This window comes from Homo sapiens, chromosome X (assembly GCF_000001405.40).
Source record: "Homo sapiens chromosome X, GRCh38.p14 Primary Assembly".
Classification (NCBI taxonomy): Eukaryota; Metazoa; Chordata; class Mammalia; order Primates; family Hominidae; genus Homo; species Homo sapiens.
Genome location: NC_000023.11, coordinates 105,652,048 through 105,674,944, shown reverse-complemented (window position 1 = coordinate 105,674,944; position 22,897 = coordinate 105,652,048). Strand labels below are relative to the sequence as shown.

General features: G+C 37.3%; 1 protein-coding gene and 1 long non-coding RNA gene across 3 annotated transcripts in view; one reads left to right on the top strand and one right to left on the bottom strand.

Annotated features, from left to right (window-relative positions):
* Positions 1–13,313, top strand: part of LOC105373303 (uncharacterized) — a 135,721-nt gene extending 122,408 nt beyond the window's left edge. Inside the window, exon 4 of the long non-coding RNA XR_938493.3 lies at positions 11,753–13,313. This is a non-coding gene — a long non-coding RNA (uncharacterized LOC105373303). The remainder of the gene's footprint in view (positions 1–11,752) is intronic.
* IL1RAPL2 (interleukin 1 receptor accessory protein like 2) overlaps positions 1–22,897 on the bottom strand; it is a 1,201,631-nt gene that overhangs the window by 92,885 nt on the left and 1,085,849 nt on the right. The gene's annotated exons all lie outside the window — the stretch shown is intronic.

Below are 22,897 nucleotides of genomic sequence, written 5' to 3'. Positions count from 1 at the left end.
TGAAGGAACCCCCCCTTCGCAATTGCTACAAAGAGAATAAAATACCTAGGAATACAGCTAACAAGGGAAATGAAGTTCCTTTTCAAGGAGAACTACAAACCACTGTTCAAGGAAACCAGAGAGGACACAAACAAATGAAAAAATATTCCATGCTCATGGATAGGAAGAACCAATATCATGAAAATGACCATATTGCCCAAAGTAATTTATAGATTCAATGCTATTCCCATTAAACTACCATTGACATTCTTCACAGAATTAGAAAAAAACTAATTTTTTTATGGAACCAAAAAGAGCCCATATAGCCATGACAATCCCAAGCAAAAAGAACAATGCTGGAGGCATCATGCTACCAGACTTTAAACTATACCATAAGGCTACAATAACCAAAACAGCATGGTAATGGTGCAAAAACACACACAGACCAATGGAACAGAAGAGAACTCAGAAATAAGATTGCGCATGTACAACCATCTGATCTTTGACAAATTTCACCAAAAGAAGCAATGGGGAAATAATCCCTCATTTAATAAATGGTGCTGGGAGAACTGGCTATCCATTTGTTCAAAATTGAGACTGGACCCCTTCCTCATACCTTATTAAAAAATTAACTCAAGATGGCTTAAAGGCTTAAATGTAAAACCCAAAACTATAAAAACCCTAGAAGAAAATCTACACAATAACATTCAGGACATAGGTATGGGCAAAGATGTCATGATGAAATAACCATAAGCGATTGCAATAAAAGCAAAAATTGATAAATGGGATCTAATTAAACTAAGGAGCTTTGCACAGAAAAAGAAACTATCATTAGAATGAACAGGCAACCTACACAGTGGGAGAAAATTTTTTCAATTTATCAGTTTGACAAAGATCTAATATCCAGAATCTACAAGGAACTCAAACACATTTTTGAGGTAAAAACAAACAACCCCATTAAAAAGCAGGCAAAGAACATGAACAGACACTTCTCAAAAGAAGACATTCATACAGCCCACAAACATATGAAAAAAAGATCAACATCACTGATCATTAGAGAAATACAAATCAAAACCACAATGAGATATCATCTCACACCAGTCAGAACAGCCATTATTAAAAAGTCAAGAAACAACAGATACTGGCGAGGCTGCAGAGAAAGAGGAACACTTTTACACTGTTGGTGGGAATGTAAATTAGTTCAACCATTGTGGAAGACGGTGTGGCAATTCCTCAAAGATCTAGAACCAGAAATACCATTTGACCCAGCAATCCCATTACTGGGTAGATACCCAAAGAAATAAAAATGATTCTATTACAAAGATACATGCATGTGTATGTTCATTGCAGCACTATTCACAATAACAAAGACATGAAATCAACCCAAATGTCCATCAATGGTAGACTGGATAAAGAAATTGTGGTATATATATACCATGGAATACTATGCAGCCATAAAAAGGAATGAGATCATGTCCTTTGCAGGGACTTGGATGAAGCTGGAAGCCATAATCCTCAGCAAACTAATGCAGGAACAGAAAACCAAACACCAAATGTTCTCATTTATAAGTAGTAGCAGAACAATGAGAACACATGGACACAGGGAGGGGAACAACACACTGGGGCCTGTCAGCGAGTGGGATGGGGGTAGGGAGAGTATTAGGACAAATAGCTAATGCATGCTGGGCTTAATACCTAGGTGATGGGTTGATAGGTCCAGCAAACCATCATGGCACACGTTTACCTATGTTACAAACCTTCACATACTGCATATGTACCCCAGAACTAAAACTAAAAATAGAAATAAAGCCTTATGCTTCTGGGAAGATAGAGTCGCTATAATATCTCCTATTTTTCCCACGAGGTACAACTAAGCTGTCTGGATATTATGTGTAAAGCAAACATAAGATGATGCTGAAAAACAGGGAGAAGAAGGCAGACAGGCTAAGGACTACAGGACACAAGGGATGACACAGTGGTTAGGTCCCTGGGTCTTCTTTGTGTCTCATATACACCAGACTTGTTACTGAACAAGCCAGAAACCCAGAAATGGCAACAGTCGCAGACATAAAAAGCCCAGCAAAGATCTGCTCTTCCTATCTAAAAGACTAAAAAAGGGGAAGCCTAGAAAGATAGAAAGCCTTTGGATAATAATTATTATAGTCCAACCAAACATCACAGAAAAAAATATGGTACCATCCCTGCCCATGCCAGCAAAGGATAACTAGAGAGCCTAGACATTCACTCTTAGGATGCTGTAACAAGTTGTCTAGCATGCCATTGGGATGGTATCAGAGATGGCCAAATAGAAAGCTAAGACTTAATCCCTGCCTGTTGTTAATGAGAATCACACTCCTCTTGCCCCTTTGCAGTATCTATGTGAGACACCATGTGAGAAGTCTGGACTTCTACCCCGACTCAGCTGTAATGAGACATCCCTCTACCCCCTACAGGGGTTCTGTCGGAGGAGGCCTTTCACAATTGCCAAGTAATAATAAAGCCACCTCCACCAAGGTATCAGTGGAGACCATGGAAGAACCTGGAACTCTCACCTATGTAGTAGTAGTTAGGAGACTCTCACTTTGGCTGTCAGTGGAAGCTGAGTGGGGAACCTGGGCTTCTACCTTCACCTAGCAACAATGAGCTAATTTCCCTATTTTCCCTGATGGAGCAGTATTAGAGAAAGACAGCTAAAATAGAAGATTTAAATAAGAACATAGTACAAAACGTCTAGGTTTACATTGGAAGCTAGTAGTTATACCAAAAATAGGAAAATCTCAAAAAAAAATGAACAAAGATAACGGATACCAACACCAAGATGACAGACATGTTAAAATTATGTGGCAATTATTTAAACAGTCATAATAAAAAAACTCCAGCAAACAATTATGAAGATACATGAATCAAGTCTAAAGCCTCAGTATAGTAATAGAAAGTCCCAGCAAAGAATTAGAAATATAAAGAACGAAATGAAAATTCCAGAATTAAAAAGTACAATAATTGAAATAGAAAGCTCAATAGATGGGCTCAAAAACAGAATGGAGGGGATAGATGAAATAAACCATCGAACTGAAAATAGAACAGTAATTACTCATTCTGGACAGTAGAGAAAAAATAGACTAGAAAAAAAAATGAATAGATAGTCTAGGACCTGTGTGACTATAACAAAAGGTTTCACATTCAAGCCATTGGAGTCCTGGGGAGAAAAGGAAATGATGTTGGTACTCAAATAAATAATGCCTAAAAATGTCCCATATATGGTATAAATATAAACCTATAGATTTAAAAAGTTGGGTGTACCTCTAACAGGGTAAACACAAAGAAATCCATACCAAGACACATTATATTTAAACTTCTAGAAACTAAACACAAAGACAAATTTTTGAAAGCAGACAGAGCCAAATGACCCCTTATCAACAGCTGAAAATCACTGCTCTTAGTCAATACGTTGCTGGAAGTTCTAGCCAGTGCAATAAAGCAAAACAATAAAATAAAAGACATGCAAACTGGAAATAAAGAAATAAAACTGCCTCTATTTCCAGATGACATAATGTCTATGTTGAAAATCCTAGGGAATCTATAAAAAAATAAAAAGCAACTCCTAGAATAAGAGAGTTGTTTAGCAATGTTTCAGGATATAATATAAACATACAAGAATCAACTGTATTTTTATAAACTAAGCAATCAATTCATAGACACCAATTAAAAATATAAAAACCAGCCAGGCGTGGTGGCTCATGCCTTTAATCCTAGCCCTTTGGGAGGCCAAGGCCGGTGGATCACCTGAGGTCAGGAGTTTGAGAGCACCTTGGCCCACATGGCGAAACACCATCTCTACTAAAAATACAAAAATTAGCAGGGCGTGGTGGTGGGTGCCTGTAATCCCAGCTACTCGGGAGCTGAGGCAGGAGAATCACTTGAACCTGGGAGGCGGAGGTTGCAGTGAGCTGAGATCACACAGTTGCACTCCAGCCTGGGTGAAAGAGTGAAACTCTCTCTCAAAATAAATAAATAATAAATATTATATATTATATATTATGTATATATGTATGGTATATATATATAATATATATACACGCACACACACACACCAAAAAATATTTTAAATATAGTGTCATTTACAATCATTGAAAAAATAAAGTACTTAGGTGTAAATCTAACAAAACATGTGCTGGACTTGTATGTCAAAAATATGGAACACTGAATAAATGAATCATAAAGGATCTAAATAAATAGACACAGTGTGTTCGTGAATTGGATGACTCATCATAGTACAGATGTCAATTTACCCCAAATTGTTATAATGGTTTAATGCATTACTATCAACATTCCAGTTAGATTTTTTTTTTTTAGATATAGACAAGATTGGCCGGGCGCGGTGGCTCACGCCTGTAATCCCAGCACTTTGGGAGGCTGAGGCGGGGGCATCACGAGATCAGGAGATCGAGACCATCCTGGCTAACACTGTGAAACCCCGTCTCTACTGAAAATACAAAAAATTTGCCAGGCGCGGTGGCGGGCTCCTGCAGTCCCAGCTACCAGGAGGCTGAGGCAGGAAAATGGCATGAACCCGAGAGGCAGAGCTTGCAGTGAGCCGAGATCGTGCCACTGAACTCCAGCCTGGGTGACAGAGCGAGACTCCGTCTCAAAAAAAAAAAAAGATATAGACAAGATTACACTAAATTTATGTGAAAAGTCAAAGAACTTAGAATAGCTAAAACAGTATTGCAAAAAAAAAAAAGTAGGAAAAATCAGTCCATTTGATTTCAAGATTTATTATATAGCTTTAGTCATCAAGACTGTGTGGTCTGGTGGAGATATATATATATATATATATATATATATATATATATATATATACAGGAAACCCAGAAATAGAGCCACACAAATATTCCCAGCTGATTTTTTACAAAAATGTAAAAGTACTTCAAGTACTTCAATGGAGGAAAGACAGGCTTTTCAACAAATGGTGCTAGAAAAACTGGACATCCATAGGCAAAAAATAATGAACCGTGAACTAAGTCTCACAAGTTATATAATAAAAATAATTCAAAATGGACTGAGGACTTAAATGTAAAATGTAGCACTGTAAAAGTTTTAGAAAAATAAACAAATTCAACATTCTCAAAGTAACGTAATTACAGAAATGGAGAGAAGTTTAGTGGTTGCCAGAAGTTAAATAGGGGATAGTGGTGGGAGGGAAATGGGTGTTACTATAGAAGTGCAACATGAAGGATTTCTGTCAGGATAGAACTGTTCTGTGTTATGATACTGTATCAATGTTAGTATCTTGGTTGTCAGATTGTGCTATAGTTCCAGAAGAGTTTACCACTGGGGAAAACTGGGTAAAGAGTATATGGGATCTTTCTGAATTATTTATTACACCTGCATGTGATTGTAAAATGGTCATCTCAAAATTTAAAAATTAATTAGAAAAATTGCTTTGGGTGGAAAAAGAAGAGAAGAATGCCGCAAGACCAGGACAATGTGATGCTTGAGTTTATCTTCTAAGAAATGAAGTCTCAGGTATTTGGCTATGGGGTACCAAGGTGAAATTGTGGGTGGGACAAGCCAGGATTTTCTATACATAATTAATATAAAATGTTTACCCCTTTCACATCCTTTGGGGATATTAAGCACATGTGCAGAAGACGGAGAAAACTTGAACCAATGAATCCCAGAAAGCGTAATGAATGAGAAATAATCAACATGGGAAATCTTTTATTGCTTTTTTGTACAAGGTTAAGAAACACCCACCCTGCTTTTTACTCTAACTTATTTTGGAATCCACATAACTCACAAAAATAAGTAATCTTATTTTTATTTAAATATTGTTGAAAACATGGTAAAGATCACAAAGAGATCAACTAATTGTGAGCTGCAGCTTGCTATTAAAATAATGTTAGATAATTTTAAAATGAGATCCTTCCACCCTCTTTAACCCCACAGACTGTTAAAACTATACATATTGGGCCTATATTCCTTTTCCTCCTCTTACTCGAGCCATGACATGGATGGATGCTCCTTTTGAGGTCTATGTTAATGACGGTATTTGGATGCCTGGTTCTGTAGATGATCCTTGTCCTGCCCAACCTTCAGAAGAAGGAACCCCTTTCAATATCGCTTTAGGTTTTAGGTATCCACCTTTGTGCCTGGGACCCACTAATGGATGTCTCTTATTAGATATTCAAACATGGGTGGTCACACTACCGTCTGGTCACTCTGTCCCTCCTTTAGGACACTTGGTATCAGGGCTCTCATTAAAACCTCTAAGGCAGATCAAAACAGGAATCACTGATTATATTCACACATCCCAATATAAGCCTTTAGGACCTGCATGTCCTCTCAACTTGTCTTCAAATGCTGGCAAATTAATATGGAAGGATTGTGTTAGTTCAGAAGGAACTGTGTTATTTAATTCTTCTCACTACACCATTGTTGATTGGGCTCCCAAAGGTCATATTACTAATGATTGCTCTCAAGGTCATAGAGATTGTCAACATTTTCTCTATGATATTACTTATCAAAAAAGTAGTGACAACCCTCCCCTATTATATTGTAGATTTAACTCCTTTTTTCCTCTTAAGTGGAAAGGGGCAGGGGTTGCCCCTCCAAAGCCAAGGCTCGTTGTTCCCCACTTAGGACCTGAACATTCAGAATTATGGAGATTAACCATAGCTATGACTGGTATGAGAGTTTGGGCTGGAGAAAGTGTTATAAGTAAATCCACCTTGTCACCTCAAAAACTAAGACAACAGATTGATTTACACTACTATTTCCATACAGCCAAAAATATCACTATGGCAATTGTCAAAAGGTCAATTCAAAGATGGGACAGTAAAGATTATAAGGACTTATACCCCCTCGTTCTAATGTCCCCCCACCACCTCTCATACAACCCATTCCCCCCACCCCATATTCACAAAAAGGAGTACCATCCCAAAATATATATACTATCTATATGGAGTCCAACAAAACTATACCACTTAAAAGTTGTGTTAAATCACCATATATGTTATTATAGGAAAGATGCATGTTAGTTCAAAAACCAACATAATTACCTGTGTTAATTGTTACTTGTATACTTGTATTGACTCATCCTTTAATCAATATCATAGTATTTTAATAGTCAGAGCCAGAGACGGTATTTGGCTCCCCGTAGCCTTACACAGGCCTTGGGAATCTTCCCCTTCTATCCATGTTATTAATAATATTCTACGGAAAACTCTTAAAAGGAGTAAACGATTTATTTTTACATTAATTGCAGTAATAATGGGCTTGATTGCTGTTACTGTGACTGCTGCTACTGCTGGAGTTGCATTACATCAATCTATTCAAACTGTTCATTTTGTGGATAAATGGCAAAAAAATTCTACTTGGATGTGGAATTCTCAGTCAGGTATTGATCAAAAATTGGCCAATCAAATTAATGATCTAAGACAAACTGTTATATGGATGGGAGATAGAATTGAGTTTAGAACATAGATTATAAATGCAATGTGATTGGAATAATTCTGATTTTTGTATAACTCTGTTTCAATATAATGAGTCTGTTCACAATTGGGAATCAGTAAAACGCCATTTACAAAGAAGTGAAGACAATTTAAGTTTAGACATAAGCAAGCTAAAACAACAGATTTTTGAGGCCTCTCAAGCACACTTAACTGCTTTACCCGGTCCTGAAGTTTTAGACGGTATCTCTGAGGGGTTATCTAACCTCAACCCCATTCAATGGGTAAAATCTTTGGGAGGATCCACTATCGTTAATTTTGTTCTGTGTATAATTTGTGCTATTGGTTTATTGTTCATATGTAAAATTGGAAAAAAATATTCTTCAATCCAGTCGTGATCAGTGCCAAGCTATGATTGCTATGGTTCATTTAAATCAGAGAAAAGGGGGAGATGTAGGGAGACCCCCTGAAACTATTGCTATGGAATAAAAGATGAAATGCTCCTGATTATTGTAAATACAAAGTTGCATGCAGGATTGTGTAAAGACAATGCCAGGCTGGACTGCCAGAATGAGCCAACAGCGCGTGATGTGCTTCCCCCTACAGAGAGCCTATGAATGGACGTGCAGTCAGGGAGGTTTCACATCACCAAGATTCCTATCCCAGAAAAGCAGATGTTCATAGCTCTGGGAATGGAATGCGACCCTTGTGGAGAGCCTATAAATGGACACATGAGGGGCGCCTGTCCATATGGATAAGATAGGACTATAAATGCCCTCATCTTGCCACGGCTCTTCTAGGCTTCTTTAGGGTTAAGGCATACTGCCTTCTGAGAATTTCTGGTCTAACTGGTTGTCTAGCTTCAAGTCCTGTTTCTATGGATTGTTTGTAACCAGCTTTTGCTGCAACTGTTACTGCTGATTAATATCTTGCTAATAATAGGTTATGGAAAGACTGTGTTTCTGTTTTACGGCTCTGTTAGAAATTACCGATGCACACACTATATTGTAAATTCCTTTCTCTGTATACTGTACTTCTGCATACAGATGTTATGTTAAAGAATTACTTCATCCCCATGTGACCATCTCACCTCATAATCAAATGACACTAAATCCCTCACTAACCTACCCCCGCCCTCACTAAACTTAATAATAAATGCTGGTATATTCAGTGCATTGTTGGCACCACGGGACCAGAAGGCAGTGACCCCCCTGGACCCAGCTTTCACTATCTTGTGTGTGTCTATTATTTCTCGACCTGCCTATCCACCTGGGAACAAAGAGAGAGCCCTGTTGCATTGTGGGCTGCTGGCCAGATCCCGCAATAGATTATAAAGCTATGTGGGTTTTTTATTAGTTTTTGAGTTGGGGAAAGTAAAAATTTCTGTATTTTGTACTTCATGTTTGCTCAAAACAGCAAAAAAAAAAAAAAACCCATTTTTAAAAACTATTACGGCCGGGCGCGGTGGCTCACGCCTGTAATCCCAGCACTTTGGGAGGCTGAGACAGGCGGATCACGAGGTCAGGAGATCGAGACCATCCTGGTTAAGACGGTGAAACCCCGTCTCTACAAAAAATACAAAAAATTAGCCGGGCGTGGTGGCGGGCGCCTGTAGTCCCAGCTACTCGGGAGGCTGAGGCAGGAGAATGGCATGAACTCAGGAGACAGAGCTTGCAGTGAGCCGAGATCGCACCACTGCACTCCAGCCTGGGCGACAGAGCGAGACTCCATCTCGGAAAACAACAACAACAACAACAACAAAAAAAAAAAAACAAAAAAACAAAAAAACAAAAATAAAAACTATTGAAAGGACAAAAAGATAAATCCAGTTCAATAAACACATACTCAGCTAGTGAATTAATATTTTATTTCAGTCACTCAGCAAACAATTTACAGTGAAATTTAATCTCTTCTAATCTGTCAAAATGAAAGAAAATATCTTGTTATTTGTCTTTTTCAGAAAAACAAGTAATGTTAAATAATATTATGGTGAATATAGTTTTCAAAAGATCAAGTGTTTTAAAATTCCATCCATAAAGAGGTAACAGGTTTTCTCCTGTAAGTTGTCTTTTTGTCCTCCCAAATGATAGGAGGAAAAACAGTACAATAAGATGCTTTGTTAAGGTGGCTTAAATTACACACACACACACACACACACACACACACACACGCACGCGCATAAAATAAAGGCTCATAAAATTTCCTTTTATGTAAGGCTGAGCTCCTTGGGCTATAACTATTCAAGACAAGGGTGAAAGTATGAAAATCCACTATGCTTGATGGCTTGACTGATTATCAACTACAGTTGGCCCTTGAACAATGCAGGGGTTAGGGCCGCTAATCCCCCGCCCACACGCAGGTAGAAATCCACATATAATTTTGACTCATCTAAAACTTACTTCTAATAGCCTACTGTTGCCTGGTCCCTTATCAGTAGCATACTTATTCAGTTAGCACATATTTTATATGCTACATGCATTATATACTGTATTCTGATAATTTAAGCTAGAGAAAAAATGTTATTAAGAAAATCATAAGAAAGAGAAATCTTGTTCATCATTTCCTTGATTGGTTCTCTCACAAATTCTGTGAAGTTATGCACAATATCTGGACACAGTTTTCTCCAGCAGGAGTTTATTGTTTTGGGCTTGATTGTTTTCATGGTTTTTTCTATAACAAAGACAGCATCTTTAATGGTGTGATCCTTCCAGATTTCCCTGACACCCTCTTTATTGAGGAGGTTTTCTTCCATAGCATTGACAATCTTTTCCACAGAGTATTGTATGTAATCAGCCTTAAAGGTTGTTATGGCCCTCTGATCCAGAGGCTAGATTAGAGACATTCTGTTTTGGGGAAAGTAGACCACTATGATGCCTGTGGTGTTGAACTCACAGGGGCATCTGGGTAGTCAGGGGCATTGTTCAATATCAAAAGAACTTTAAAAGGCAGTCTCTTACTGACAAGGTGCTTCTTGACTTCAGCATCGATGGAAGCAATCCAGGAAAAGGGTTCTCATTGATTGTCCAGGCCTTCTTGTTGTACAATCAACAGACTGGCAACTGGTGTTTATCTTTTCCTTTAAAGGTTCAGGGGTTACCAGCTTTATAAATAGGAGCAATCCTATCATAAACCTGACTGCATTTACACAAAAGAGTAGAATTCGCCTATCTCTTCCTGCCTTTAATCCTGGTGCTTGCTTCTCTTCCTTACCAACAAATGTTCTTTGTGGCACTTTTCCCCAGAATATGGCACTTTCATTTGCATTAAAAACCTGTTCAGGAAGATATCCTTTCTCCTCAATGATTTTCTTAATGGCATCTGGAAACTTGTGCTGCCTCTTTGGTTGTCAAAAGCTGCTTCTCCTGTTATCTTGACATTTTTAAAGCCAAACCTCTTTCTAAAATTACCAAACCATCCTTTGCTGGCATTAAATTCTTCAACTTTGTATGCTTCCTTTTGTTTTAAGTTATCATATATTGACTTGACTTTTGCTTAAATCATGTTAGATTTTATAGGTATGCCTTTCTTATAGCAATCCTGCACTTACCTAAAAGCTGCATTTTCAATACTAAATAAAAAGGCATTTTTCAAAAAGTGCAACATTTTTGGTAACTGCAGCAATGGCTTCACAAATTTTCTTTTCTTTTCTTTTCTTTTTTACAATAATCTTCAAGCTGGATTCTTTTACCTTGAAATGGCAGGCAACTGCAGCTGCAGACCTCAATCTATCGTACATAACAAGCAATTCAGCTTTTTCCTGTCATGTCAAGACTTTTCTCTGCTTCTTGGGGACACTTCCAGCATCACTTGTGGCAATTCATATGGGTTCTCATGGTATTATCCAAAGCTTATGGTATTGCCCTAAAATCAATGAAAACTACATGAATAACACCAGAGGTCACTTTTTTCTGTGATACTCAATTTACGGGAGAGAGGAATTGCTCACATGAAGATGATTGGCAGCACACAGCATTTTAAGTGGATATTCGCAATACCTGAGCTCACTGCAATAACAACAGGAGGTAGCTACAAAATTATTATAGTAGTATAGTATGGACTACAGTTAATTTTATGCAGTTATAGTTTGATACTGCATATTTATATTTGTTTACATTTCTCTCAACTGGGAATGGCACCATGTATGATCTGTGTTTGTATAAGTTTTGATAAATTTAAACTTTTTTGATACAGTGTCTTTAATTTTAACTTTTCGTAATATACTTTTGTATATTATATTTGTGTAAATGATAAAGTAGACTAGGATGTACATATATTTTGTGCATTCATTACATAACTTTTTCTTATTGTTTTGATATTTCTAGGTTAAGCAATTCATCTCCTAGTTTTTACAAATTGTCACAACTCTCCAAAAATTTTCTGATATATTTGTGGAGAAAGACCCACATGTAAGTGAACCAACAGAGTTCAAACACATGTTGTTTTAAGGGTCAACTATATAGGTAAGTATCATATAGAAAATCCCCTTTACCATTTTTGAGAGATGTGATAGGCTAATTGTTAAACCTATGAATATCCTGTTACCTATTTCTATGTAACAAATTACCCTAAAACTTAGTGACTTAAAATAATCAACATTTATTATTTCACAGTTTCTGTTTGTCAGATATTTGTGTATGGCTTAGCTGGTTCTGTTCAGTATCTCCTAGGAGGTTGAAGTCTTGACTAGGTCTTCAAGATCCACTTCAAGATGGCTCACTTACATGGCTGTTAGCAGGAAGCCTCAGTTTCTCACCATGGTAGGCCTCTCCATAGGATACCTAAATGTCCTCATGACATGGCTGTAAATTTCCCTCTGCGCAAACGACCTGAGAGAGAGCCAGTGAGGAGGAAGACACAGTACCTTTTATGATCGAATCGCCAAGGTGACACACACCTGCCTTTGTTTTACTCTATTTGTTAGAAGTGCATTAAGGTCAGCCCATACTCTAAGAGAGAGGAACTAGTCTCCACTTCTTGAGGGGAGGAGTTTCAAATAATGTGTGTATATTTTTCAAAAGCACTACCATGGCTAACTTGTTTATTTTGGGCATCTTTCCTTGTATCAGTTGATGATACTCACATTAGTCACACATCCAATAAGAGATTGGGTACACAAAACACAAGCCATATAACATAAAGGTCAGTGTAAAAATCTAAGATTTTACAAAGGGAGATTCTGAGAGTTCTGTCTAAGATGTGGAATCAGCTCATAAAGAGATGTCATGCTAACAAAGCTTTTCAGATGCTATTCCCACTCATAAGCATGAGCATTCTGTAAGTATCACTGGAAGAGCTTCTGATGTACAGAAACAAAAAAGCATGAGAGCAGTGAAAATTCTGGCTTTGGTGGAAGATAAAGTAGGAAGAGTGTAGAAGAAAAGGAATGAGAGATAAACACTGATTGAAGATTTTGCTAAGATAGGGAAAGTTTCTGTGAGTGACAATAAAGGAGGTATGCTTTAGATTTCACAGTGTAATTAGACAACTGGCTAATGATTTAATAATCTATTTCTATTGCTGCCATTTTATCTGAAGTTTGTAATGGAATGGATCTAGCTCAGGATTGCCAAATCTACTTTGCAGTAAAGAAGAAAATAGACTTTGAAAGTAAGTCCGTATCTTTAGTAAATAAAAGAAAGAAAAGATGAAAAATATTGCATTTATTTTATGGAATACTTTTTAACTAGTTTTAAAGGGAACCCTCTGCAGCAACTCCAGTGTCAACTGGGAAGTAGAAAAAGAATGCAGAATGGCTTTCAAGCTCTTTCTCTTTTGAAAGTAGTAAGCTACTCTGTGAATCAGCGGACAGAAATTAGAAACTGATAAGTATTAGACAGCTACAATATTTGAGATTCTCAGACCAGCCTCCATGTATTTTTATAGTTCCCCAAATTCCTCTTGTTATTGATTTCTAGTTTTATCCCATTATGGTCAGAAAAGATTCTGAATATAATTTCAACTTTTTTGAATGTTTTAAGACTTGTTTTTTGGCTCAACATATGGTCTATCCTTGAGAATGGTCTATGTGCTGCAGATAATAAATTGTATTCTGCAGCCATTGGATGAAATGTTCTGTAAATATCCAGTAAACTCATTTGGTCTATAGTACAGATTAAATTCAATGTTTCTTTGTTGATTTTCTCTCTGGAAGGCCTGTCCAAGGCTGACAGTGATGTGTCGAAGTCTCCAGATATTATTGCATGAGGCTGTATCTCTGTTTATCTCTAGTAATATTTGCTTTGCATATCTGGGATATCCATTGTTGTGTTCAAATATAATTGTTATATCCCCTTGCTGAATTGACTCCTTTATCATTATATAATGATCTTGTCTCTTCTTACAATTTTTGCTTGAAATCTATTTTTTCTGATATAAAGATAGCTACTCCTGCTCTTTTTTGTTTTCCATTGGCATGAAATATCTTTCTCCATCCCTTTATTTTTAGTCTTTGTGTGTTTTTATAGCTAAAGTGTGTTTCTTGTAGGCAATATATCACTGGATCTTGTTTTTTTTTAAATCTATCCAACCACTGAACATCTTTTGATTGGAGAGTTTAGTCCATTTACATTCAATGTTATTATTGATAAGTAAGGATTTACTCCTGCCATTTTGTTATTTGTCTTTTTATTGTTTCGTGGTCTTCTCTTCCTTTTTTCCTTCCTTTCTGTCTTCCTTTTAGTGAAGGCAATTTTCTTCAGTGATGTGTTTTAATTTATTGCTTTTTATTTTTTATATATCTGTTTTATGTTGTTTTGAGGTTACCATGAGTCTCACAAATGATATCTTATACCCTGTTATTTAAAACTGATAAAAATTTAACACTGGTTGCATAAACAAACATGCAAAATGAAAACTACTAAAAACTCTACACTTTAACTGTGTCCCTCTGCTTCTTAACTTTTTTAAATTTCTATTTATATCTTACTGTACTATGTCTTGGAAAGTTGTTATGGTTATTATTTTTTTATTTCTTCATCTTTTCATCTTCCTACTCAAGATATGAGTAGTTAACATACCACAATTCCAGCATTGTAATATTCTGTGTTTTTCTGGGTACTTACTATTAGCAGTGAGTTTTGTACCCTCAGATGATTTTTTATTGCTTGTTAATGTCCTTTCCTTTCAGATTAAATAACTCTCTTTAGCATTTCTTGTAGGATAGGTCTGGTGGTGATGAAATCCCTCAGCTTTTGTTTGTCTGGGAAAGTATTAATCCTTCATGTTTGAAGGACATTTGCACTGGATATACTATTCTAGGATACAGTTTTTTTTCTTTAGCACTTGAAATATATCATACCACTCTCTCCTGGCCTGTAAGGTTTCCACTGAGAATCTGATTCCAGAACATACTGAAGCTCTTTTACATGTTATTTCTTTTCTCTTGCTGCTCTTAGGATCATTTCTTCATCCTTGACCTTTGGGAGTTTGATTAATAAATGCCTTGAGGTGTCTTCTTTGGGTTCAACCTACCTGGTGTTCTATAACCTTTTTGTAATTGAATATTTATATCTTCTTCTAGGTTTGGGAAGTTCTCTGTCATTAAATCTTTGAATAAACTTTCTACCCCAATATCTCTCTCTCTTTCCTCTTTAGGGCCAATAAGTCTTAGATTTACCCTTTGAGGATATTTTCTACATCTTGCAGGTATGCTTCATTGTTTTTTATTCTTTTTCTTTTGTCTCCTTTGAGTATTTATTTTCGAATAGCCTGTCTTCAAGCTCACTAAATCTTTCTTCTGCTTGATCAGCTCTGCTGTTAAGAGAATGTGATACATTCTTCTGTATGTCAATTACATTTTTCAGCTCCAGAATTTTTTTTATTCTTTTATTTATTTTTTTTTATTTTATTTATTTTTTTTGAGACAGAGTCTCACTCTGTCGCCCAGGCTGGAGTGCAGTGGTGCAATCTCGGCTCACTGCAAGCTCTGCCTCCCGGGTTCACGCCATTCTCCTGCCTCAGCCTCCCGAGTGGCTGGGACTACAGGCGCCCGCCACCACGCCCAGCTAATTTTTTGTATTTTTAGTAGAGACGGGGTTTCACCGTTTTAGCCAGGATGGTCTCGATCTGCTGACCTCGTGATCCGCCCGCCTCGGCCTCCCAAAGTGCTGGGATTACAGGCCTGAGCCACCGCGCCCGTCCCTATTCTTTTTAATTACTTCAATCTCTTTGTTATGTTTATCTGATAGGACTCTGCATTCCTTCTCTGTGTTATCTTGGATTCAAAAAACAGTTATTTTGAATTCTCCGTCTGAAAGGTCTCTATCTATGTCTCTCCTGGATTGGTCTTTGGTGCCTTATTTAGTGCATTTGTTGAGTTTATGTGTTCCCGGGTGGTGTTGGTGGTTTTTTGTTGTTGCTGTTGTTTGTTTTCTTTTTGTTTTGTTTTTTGAGACAGAGTCTCACTCTGTTGCCCCGGCTGGAGCACAATGGCATGATCTCAGCTCACCGCAACCTCTACTTACCAGGTTCATGTGATTCTCGTGCCTCAGCCGCCCACATAGCTGGGACTATAGGCACGTGCCACCACACCTAATTTTTTTTTTTTTTTTTTTTGAGACGGAGTCTTGCTCTGTCACCCAGGCTGGAGTGCAATGGCGTGACCTTGGCTCACTGCAACCTCCGCCTGCCAAGTTCAAGCAATTCTCCTGCCTCAGCCTCCCAAGTAGCTGGGACTAAAGGCACGTGCCACCATGCCTGGCTAATTTTTTTTTTTTTTGTATTTTTAGTACAGATGGGGTTTCACCATGCTGGCCAGGCTGGTCTCGAACTCCTGACCTCATGATCTGCCCACCTCCCAAAGTGCTGGGGTTACAGGCGTGAGGCACCACACCTCGGCAATTTTTTTGTATTTTTAGTAGAGACAGGTTTCACCCTGTTGGCCAGTCTGGTCTTGAACTCCTGGCCTCAAGTGATCCACCTGCTTTGGCCTCCCAAATTGCTGGGATTACAGGTGTGAGCCACTGTGCCTATCCTCTGGGGGTTCTTGATGCTTGTGGATGTTAGTCAGTGTCTGGATATTAAAGAGTTATTTATTTTAGTGTTTGCAATCTTAGCTTGTTTGTGTCCACCCTTCTTGAGAAAGCTTTCCAGGCATTTAAAGGATGTGGGTGTTGCAATGCAAGATTTTTGTAACTATAGTCATATCTGCTTTAGGGGGCACCCAAAGCCCAGTTATACTGTGGCTCTTGCGTACTTGTGGAGGTATTGCTTTTGTGGTCTTGGGCATTTCCCTGGATCACCAAGCAGAGACTCTTGTTCTCTTCCCTTACTTTCCCCTAAACAAATGGAGTCACTCTCTCCACACTGAACTGTGTGTAACTGGAGGAGGGGCGAGTTAATTATTTTTTTTTTCTAACTTCTTAGTCTATGCAGCTTTCTGTGAGAAGGATGGGTCTTATACATTATTAATGTACTTTAATAGTTCACATAGACTAATAGTATTATACTCTAAGGTCCAGTCGGCCAGCCATGTTATAATAATCTTATTAATCAGAATGTGATCTATTTAAGTAGATTTTAGAAAGTCCTTTTTTTTTTTAATTTGGTGCTTCCAAACATGATAGATAGCTACTATAATAGGCCATTGGATTAACGAGGATAGGCTGGTTGCGGTGGCTGATGCCTCTAATCCCAGCACTTTGGGAGGCCGAGGTGGGTGGATCACCTGAGGTCAGGAGTTCAAGACCAGCCTGGCCAACATGGTGAAACCCCATCTCTACTAAAAATACAAAAAATTAGCCGGGTGTGGAGGTGGGCGCCTGTAATCCCAGGTAGTCAGGAGGCTGAGGCACAAGAATCGCTTGAACCGGGAGGCGGAGGTTGCAGTGAGCCAAGATCGTGCCATTGCACTCCAGCCTGGGCAACAAGGGCGAAACTCCATCTCAACAAAAGAAGAATGATAATGACTGTGTTGATTCAGGTCTTTTAGTACACCACTACATGCTGAACTCTCTAGTGGGAGATAGAAGCAAAGTAAGACATACCTCTCAAGTCTAAGAAAGTATAGCTCTGAGTAAGGTACATGTTCACAATATCAAGATACAGATGGATGAGAAAACACAAAGTTGGTCACCAAATTATCTGAGACATCCCAAAGAGATGAATTTCCTTAGAAATAATGTTATGAAAATTAAACAGAACACTTATACTTCCCACTGTAGGTAGTAGACACACAGAGTTTGATATACCAACTGATGGAAATGGCTGAAAGTACAAGTACAATTAGGTTCAAGGAGAATTTAGAATAAATTTCTAAATGACAGGCTCATAATAAATTAAAGATGGCTAGGAATATATAGGGATGTCCTCAATTTTTTATTTTGACATCACAGATAACATCATTCTACCACTATATATCTTCATGCTCTTTTCAGGAATAGCATGAGTGTGCAGGGTATGTGTTCATGCGTGTGTATGTAGTAGTAGTAATAGGAGTAGTCAGAGTCAGAGTCATAGTAGTAGTGTGATCATAGATTTTGTAGGGCCTATAAATGTGACACGGAGGAAATGGACTCTATTTGCAAAGGTAAAAGAAATCTAAAATAGTTTGTCATGGTCAAAGATATTAATGGAAAGTTATATGTAACCTATGTGTGATCCATGAGTCTAGAGAAAGTCAGAAGTAGAATAAACAATATTCTGAACAATGAGTTATTGCTTTCTTTAGAACAGAGAATATGTGCTTCTTGTGCAGCTAAAACCAAGACTCTTGATTTGAGAGACAGAGGAACCTGTGATATTCTTTGCAAAATTTGTCAACTGTACACCCTGTGAAAAGAGAGAAGAGAACCAAAAGACCTCTCGAGCAAAAGATATTGCCACAAAGTCCTCCAGAAACCATACCACTTCTTGACAGGTACCCAAATGAGTGATTGGTTAGGGCTTATGGTCTCTTGCTTTGCAGGAAAATAAAACAAAGGTAAAGTGTGTACTAAAAAATGATACAACTACTGGACAATACATTCTTTGGAGGGATATAGTCTGTATCTCAGTTATTTTTGGTCTCCTAGAGCACATTATGTAGTACTTCTCACAAAATACGTGCTCAATAAATATGTTCTTTCTTGTTGAATAGTAGTAAAAAAAAATAACCAAACAGGTTGTGATATGAAGACTTGCTATTATGCAATGGCAATTATTTTCCTTTCATGTATCTACTCCAAAACAAAGATAATACAAATAATGGGGGTATGCATATGTAGAACTCACTTGCTTCTCTTTTCTCCCATCACCTGCTAACCTCTACAACAATAAAAGATTTTTAAAATGGGAAATTAAAATTAAAAGGTACATGACAATCTCCCAATATTTCAATTCCGACAAGAACCTGTTAACTAAAACAATCGAACTCATGGACATAGAGAATGGAAGGTTGGTTACCAGAGGCTGAGAATAGTAGTGGGGGGTTGGGAGGGAGGTAGGGATGGTTGATGGGTACCAAAAAATAGAATGAATAAGGCCTACTGTTTGATAACACAATAGGGTGAATATAGTCAATAATAATTTAACCATACATTTTAAAATAACTTACAGAGTGTAATTGGATTATTTGTAACTCAAAGGATAAGTGCATAAGGGGATGGATACCTCATTTTCCATGATGTACTTATTTCACATTGCATGCCTGTATAAAAACATCTCATTTACTCCATAAATATACATACCTCCTATGTACCCACAAAAATTAAACAAAAAATGTATAAAAGCAAAGACAAGAAAACCTGATAACTGCAATGATAAAGGAAGGGTGCTGTCAGATATACCATGTTGATGCCAATGGTCTAATTCCTTAATCAACAAAATATCACTTTTAGAAGGACTGAAAACCAAAATGAAGAGTGATATAATTGTGACCCATTCTACTGTCTGATTCATGCTTTTTCAAAGATCCAGGTTTATGGCTAAAATGTTAAATGAATTCTCTTCATCAAAAATGTGTTTTACTTGTACTCTGACATTCAAGTAATACAGATAATTGCAAAATAGGCTAAGACTGTTTATAACATTTTTGCAGCCAAACAAGTCCATTGGAACATAAGAAGAGCAACAGATTACAGAGCTTAATAAGCCAAAAGTCACTAAATAATTGGAAATACAGAAAACAATTTCAGAAATAGAAATGATTATTTTGTAATTAAAGAAATTATATATGTATACAGAATGAGATGGGTTGGGATGAGATGGGATGAGATGTTATATGGTGGGAGAGATGGGGTGCCCCATAAGTTTCCACTGTCACAGACTAAAGATTGGTACTTTGTGCCTGGGTCCTGATTTAGAGCCCAAATAGATGTTTGCTTCCAGCACAGAAAAGTGATACTTGGACACTTTTTAGGAACAGATCAAGTGTATGACCTAATATCACTTATGTTAGGCTTACGGCAGAAAGAAACATCCAAAGTTTTAAAGTACCAAATGAAAAGGTGTAAGCCAGCATGGCCATATTGAAGAATCTTCACTCTCAGAACCACAAGAGGATTTTCCACCATTTCAACCAAATCTAAAATTTCTTGAAAAATTCACACTTCCCGGGGGCTTCTGCCTACCCTTGCTCCAGGGATTGTCTGTCAATGGGATAAGTGGGAAGAGCAGGGAGGGAGAATTAAACTGGAGAGTGATCTGTACCTAGGTCTCACAGATTTTCCAAATTCATTTTCTTTCAGCCCAAATTCTGATGACAGGAGAACAAGTTGATGTGTATCTGAAAGCCATAGTGGTGTGTTCTGAAAAGCAAAGAAGGGAAACTATTCTAAAACAGGAAGTCAATAAATGCCAGAAACATGACTTTGGTTGCAGTATTAAAATGGAGCTTATTTGCAGAAAAGCAAATAAAATAAGATGTTTTTAGCCTGTTTGGTAATAGATACTGGCACACAAGCAATGGAGGACTAGAAAGGAAGGCTGAGGACTTTTAAATATTTAATTTAAAATATTCTGACTGAAAATAGTCAAATAGGACCATATTTGATACAGTTTTGAAGGCAAGCCACTTAGCAACTTCTCAAATTACTATAGCCATAATCCATATTATTACTGAATATTGATTATAAACTTTATTCAAAATATCAAAGAAACATCTCATCAATCCAGATTTAAACCTTCATGTTTCACAGGCTAAGGTAAGAGATTAAAGGGGATAAAAGAAAAGTAGAAGTTGAGCCTATGGAGTGTTGACCTAGAGAGGAGCTAAGTGGCCTAAAAGAAAAATTAGCTCTTATTCCTCCATTTGGGTAGAGGAGAGGGAGACCTAATTTCTATCTTCTGCTGGCCTCCAGAAATATTGACAGGAGTTTACAATATTTCACAAAGTTCTTCTGGAGTGTGGAGTTTAAAAGATTTAAGCATTCAGTTTCAGCCATCACCTCAAAGGTCAAAGTATGAGTAACTCACAGCCAAGCCGCTGGAATCTCCAGGGCTTGCTTTTGAGATTTCTGTGGCTTCTTTTTCATCCTTGGATCAAGTTGGGCACTTTTGAAGTATGTTACTTGTAGCAATTCAATTCTCTAACATAAAGGGTGTGTGCGTGTGTGTGTGTGTTTGTGTGTGTGCACATACACAGACACACACACACAACCACACTTTGTATACATACTTTGACAATCACAAAGGAGACTCAAAACCAGTTTATAAAGAAGACTGATACTCAGCCTCCTCACTGATCCTCCTGCCAAATATATGTACAAGCAAAAACACATACACAAAAAACAGTGGATGGCCCTGGTTCTTTTAAGTCAAAACAATTTAATCTCTGAGAGGAAGGAGTATTTATCTTGAGAAATTTTAAAGATATACCTTCAAGTTAAACTTCATATGAGTAATACTTGCTTGAGTGTGAGGAAGGGAACATGTTTTTCACTTTTTTCCTAGGGTTTAAAATTGTTCTACTTACAGGGAAAAAATAACACTACTGTCTACTGCATTAAAAGAAAAAGTCTCAGCAAGAAGGAAGAAAGGAAGAAAAAAAGGAAGGGAGGAAGGAAGGAAGGAAAGGAGGGAAGGAGGAAGGGAGGGAAGAAGGGAGGGAGGAAAAATGACCACACAGTCTCAGATGCATAAAATATCATTGCTATATCAGATATAGTTTAAATTTCTTTGCCTGGATTCTTACACTAATTGAGTTTCAGAAATGTTCAATTTTATAATACATCTGTGATGCCATTACTATGCCAAACAATGGGTCGAGGTTCCATTTTTCAGCATCACAAATTCTTTCTCTTATTTTGATGTGTCACATTCTCATGCATTTTTATGTGCAGAATTAAAGGAGGAAATTCAAGTTTCTGAAGAAAACTGAAATTTCCTAAGGAAACTGAAAAAGGAGGATATATTTTAGGGATTTCAGAAGCTATATTTTCCGTATTCCATTACTATATCATGCTGCTCAGTTCAGCACCATGTTGGTATTGTTTCTTTTGGTTTGTTTGGCTTTTGTTTTGTCTTCCTATCTATATTGTGAACAAAAGCAGTATTTTCCCCTTCTCTTTTATCCCTCATAGATTACAGCACAGTATTTGTATACAGTAGATGCCCAATAAATATTAGTTAATGAAGCGATAACATACCATTGATGCCACAAGGTGTAACTTGACCTGATCCTGGTCACCCTTCCCATCCACTTGTCCATCTTTTTTTTCATCCTTCCATACAGTACTATGTTTATTGTGGGTTTATTACATATTTTGCATTTACACTACTATAAAAATTAGTATAAGCCACAGTTCTTCCCTTCAAGTCTTACAGTTTACTCATGGAAATAATATTATGAGAGAAACTGTGAAGTAAGATTAATAAGTGGTAAAGATAATAAGTATTATCCGTTCAGAGAAGGGGGCATTACTGGAGTTCAACTGGTTAAAAAAGGTCTCTTGGAAGAGAAGCTATTAGAAATGAACTCTGAACAATAATCTGTATCACATAGTGTCCTTGCAAATACTAAGTGCGATAATGAATTTGAAGGCTTATCACAGTGTCTTAACGTGGTCAGCCACCAACAAGTAGTATCTATGATGACAATGATAATAATTTCAGTAAAATGAAGAGAAAGAAGATTGGATAATTGGAGAGGATGGTAATTTTCAGGTAATAGAAAGCATCTGAGCAAGCAGTGGATTTTAGGATAAGCATAACATGACAGGAACAGTTTAGTTAGAAAAGAGGACACATTCTGAGGAATCAAAATAGCAGAGGAAGGTTCATGTCAAGATTAAGAACCTTGAGTGTGAGGTTGATGAATTAAGAATTTTGTTTAGGCAGTGAGGAGCCTCTGGCATTTGATGGGTTCTTGCTAGAATCAAATGGATCTGTAGGTTCTTTTACCAAGACAGGCATATAACATACCTACATGTCAGCCAACACAACTTAGTACAAAGAAAGATTCAGGCAATCAAATGATAATTTTAATCTAAAGTTGCCAATTAAGTGGATTGACAGTTTCTCTTTCTAGCTGAAGCCACCTACCCCCTGCCTTA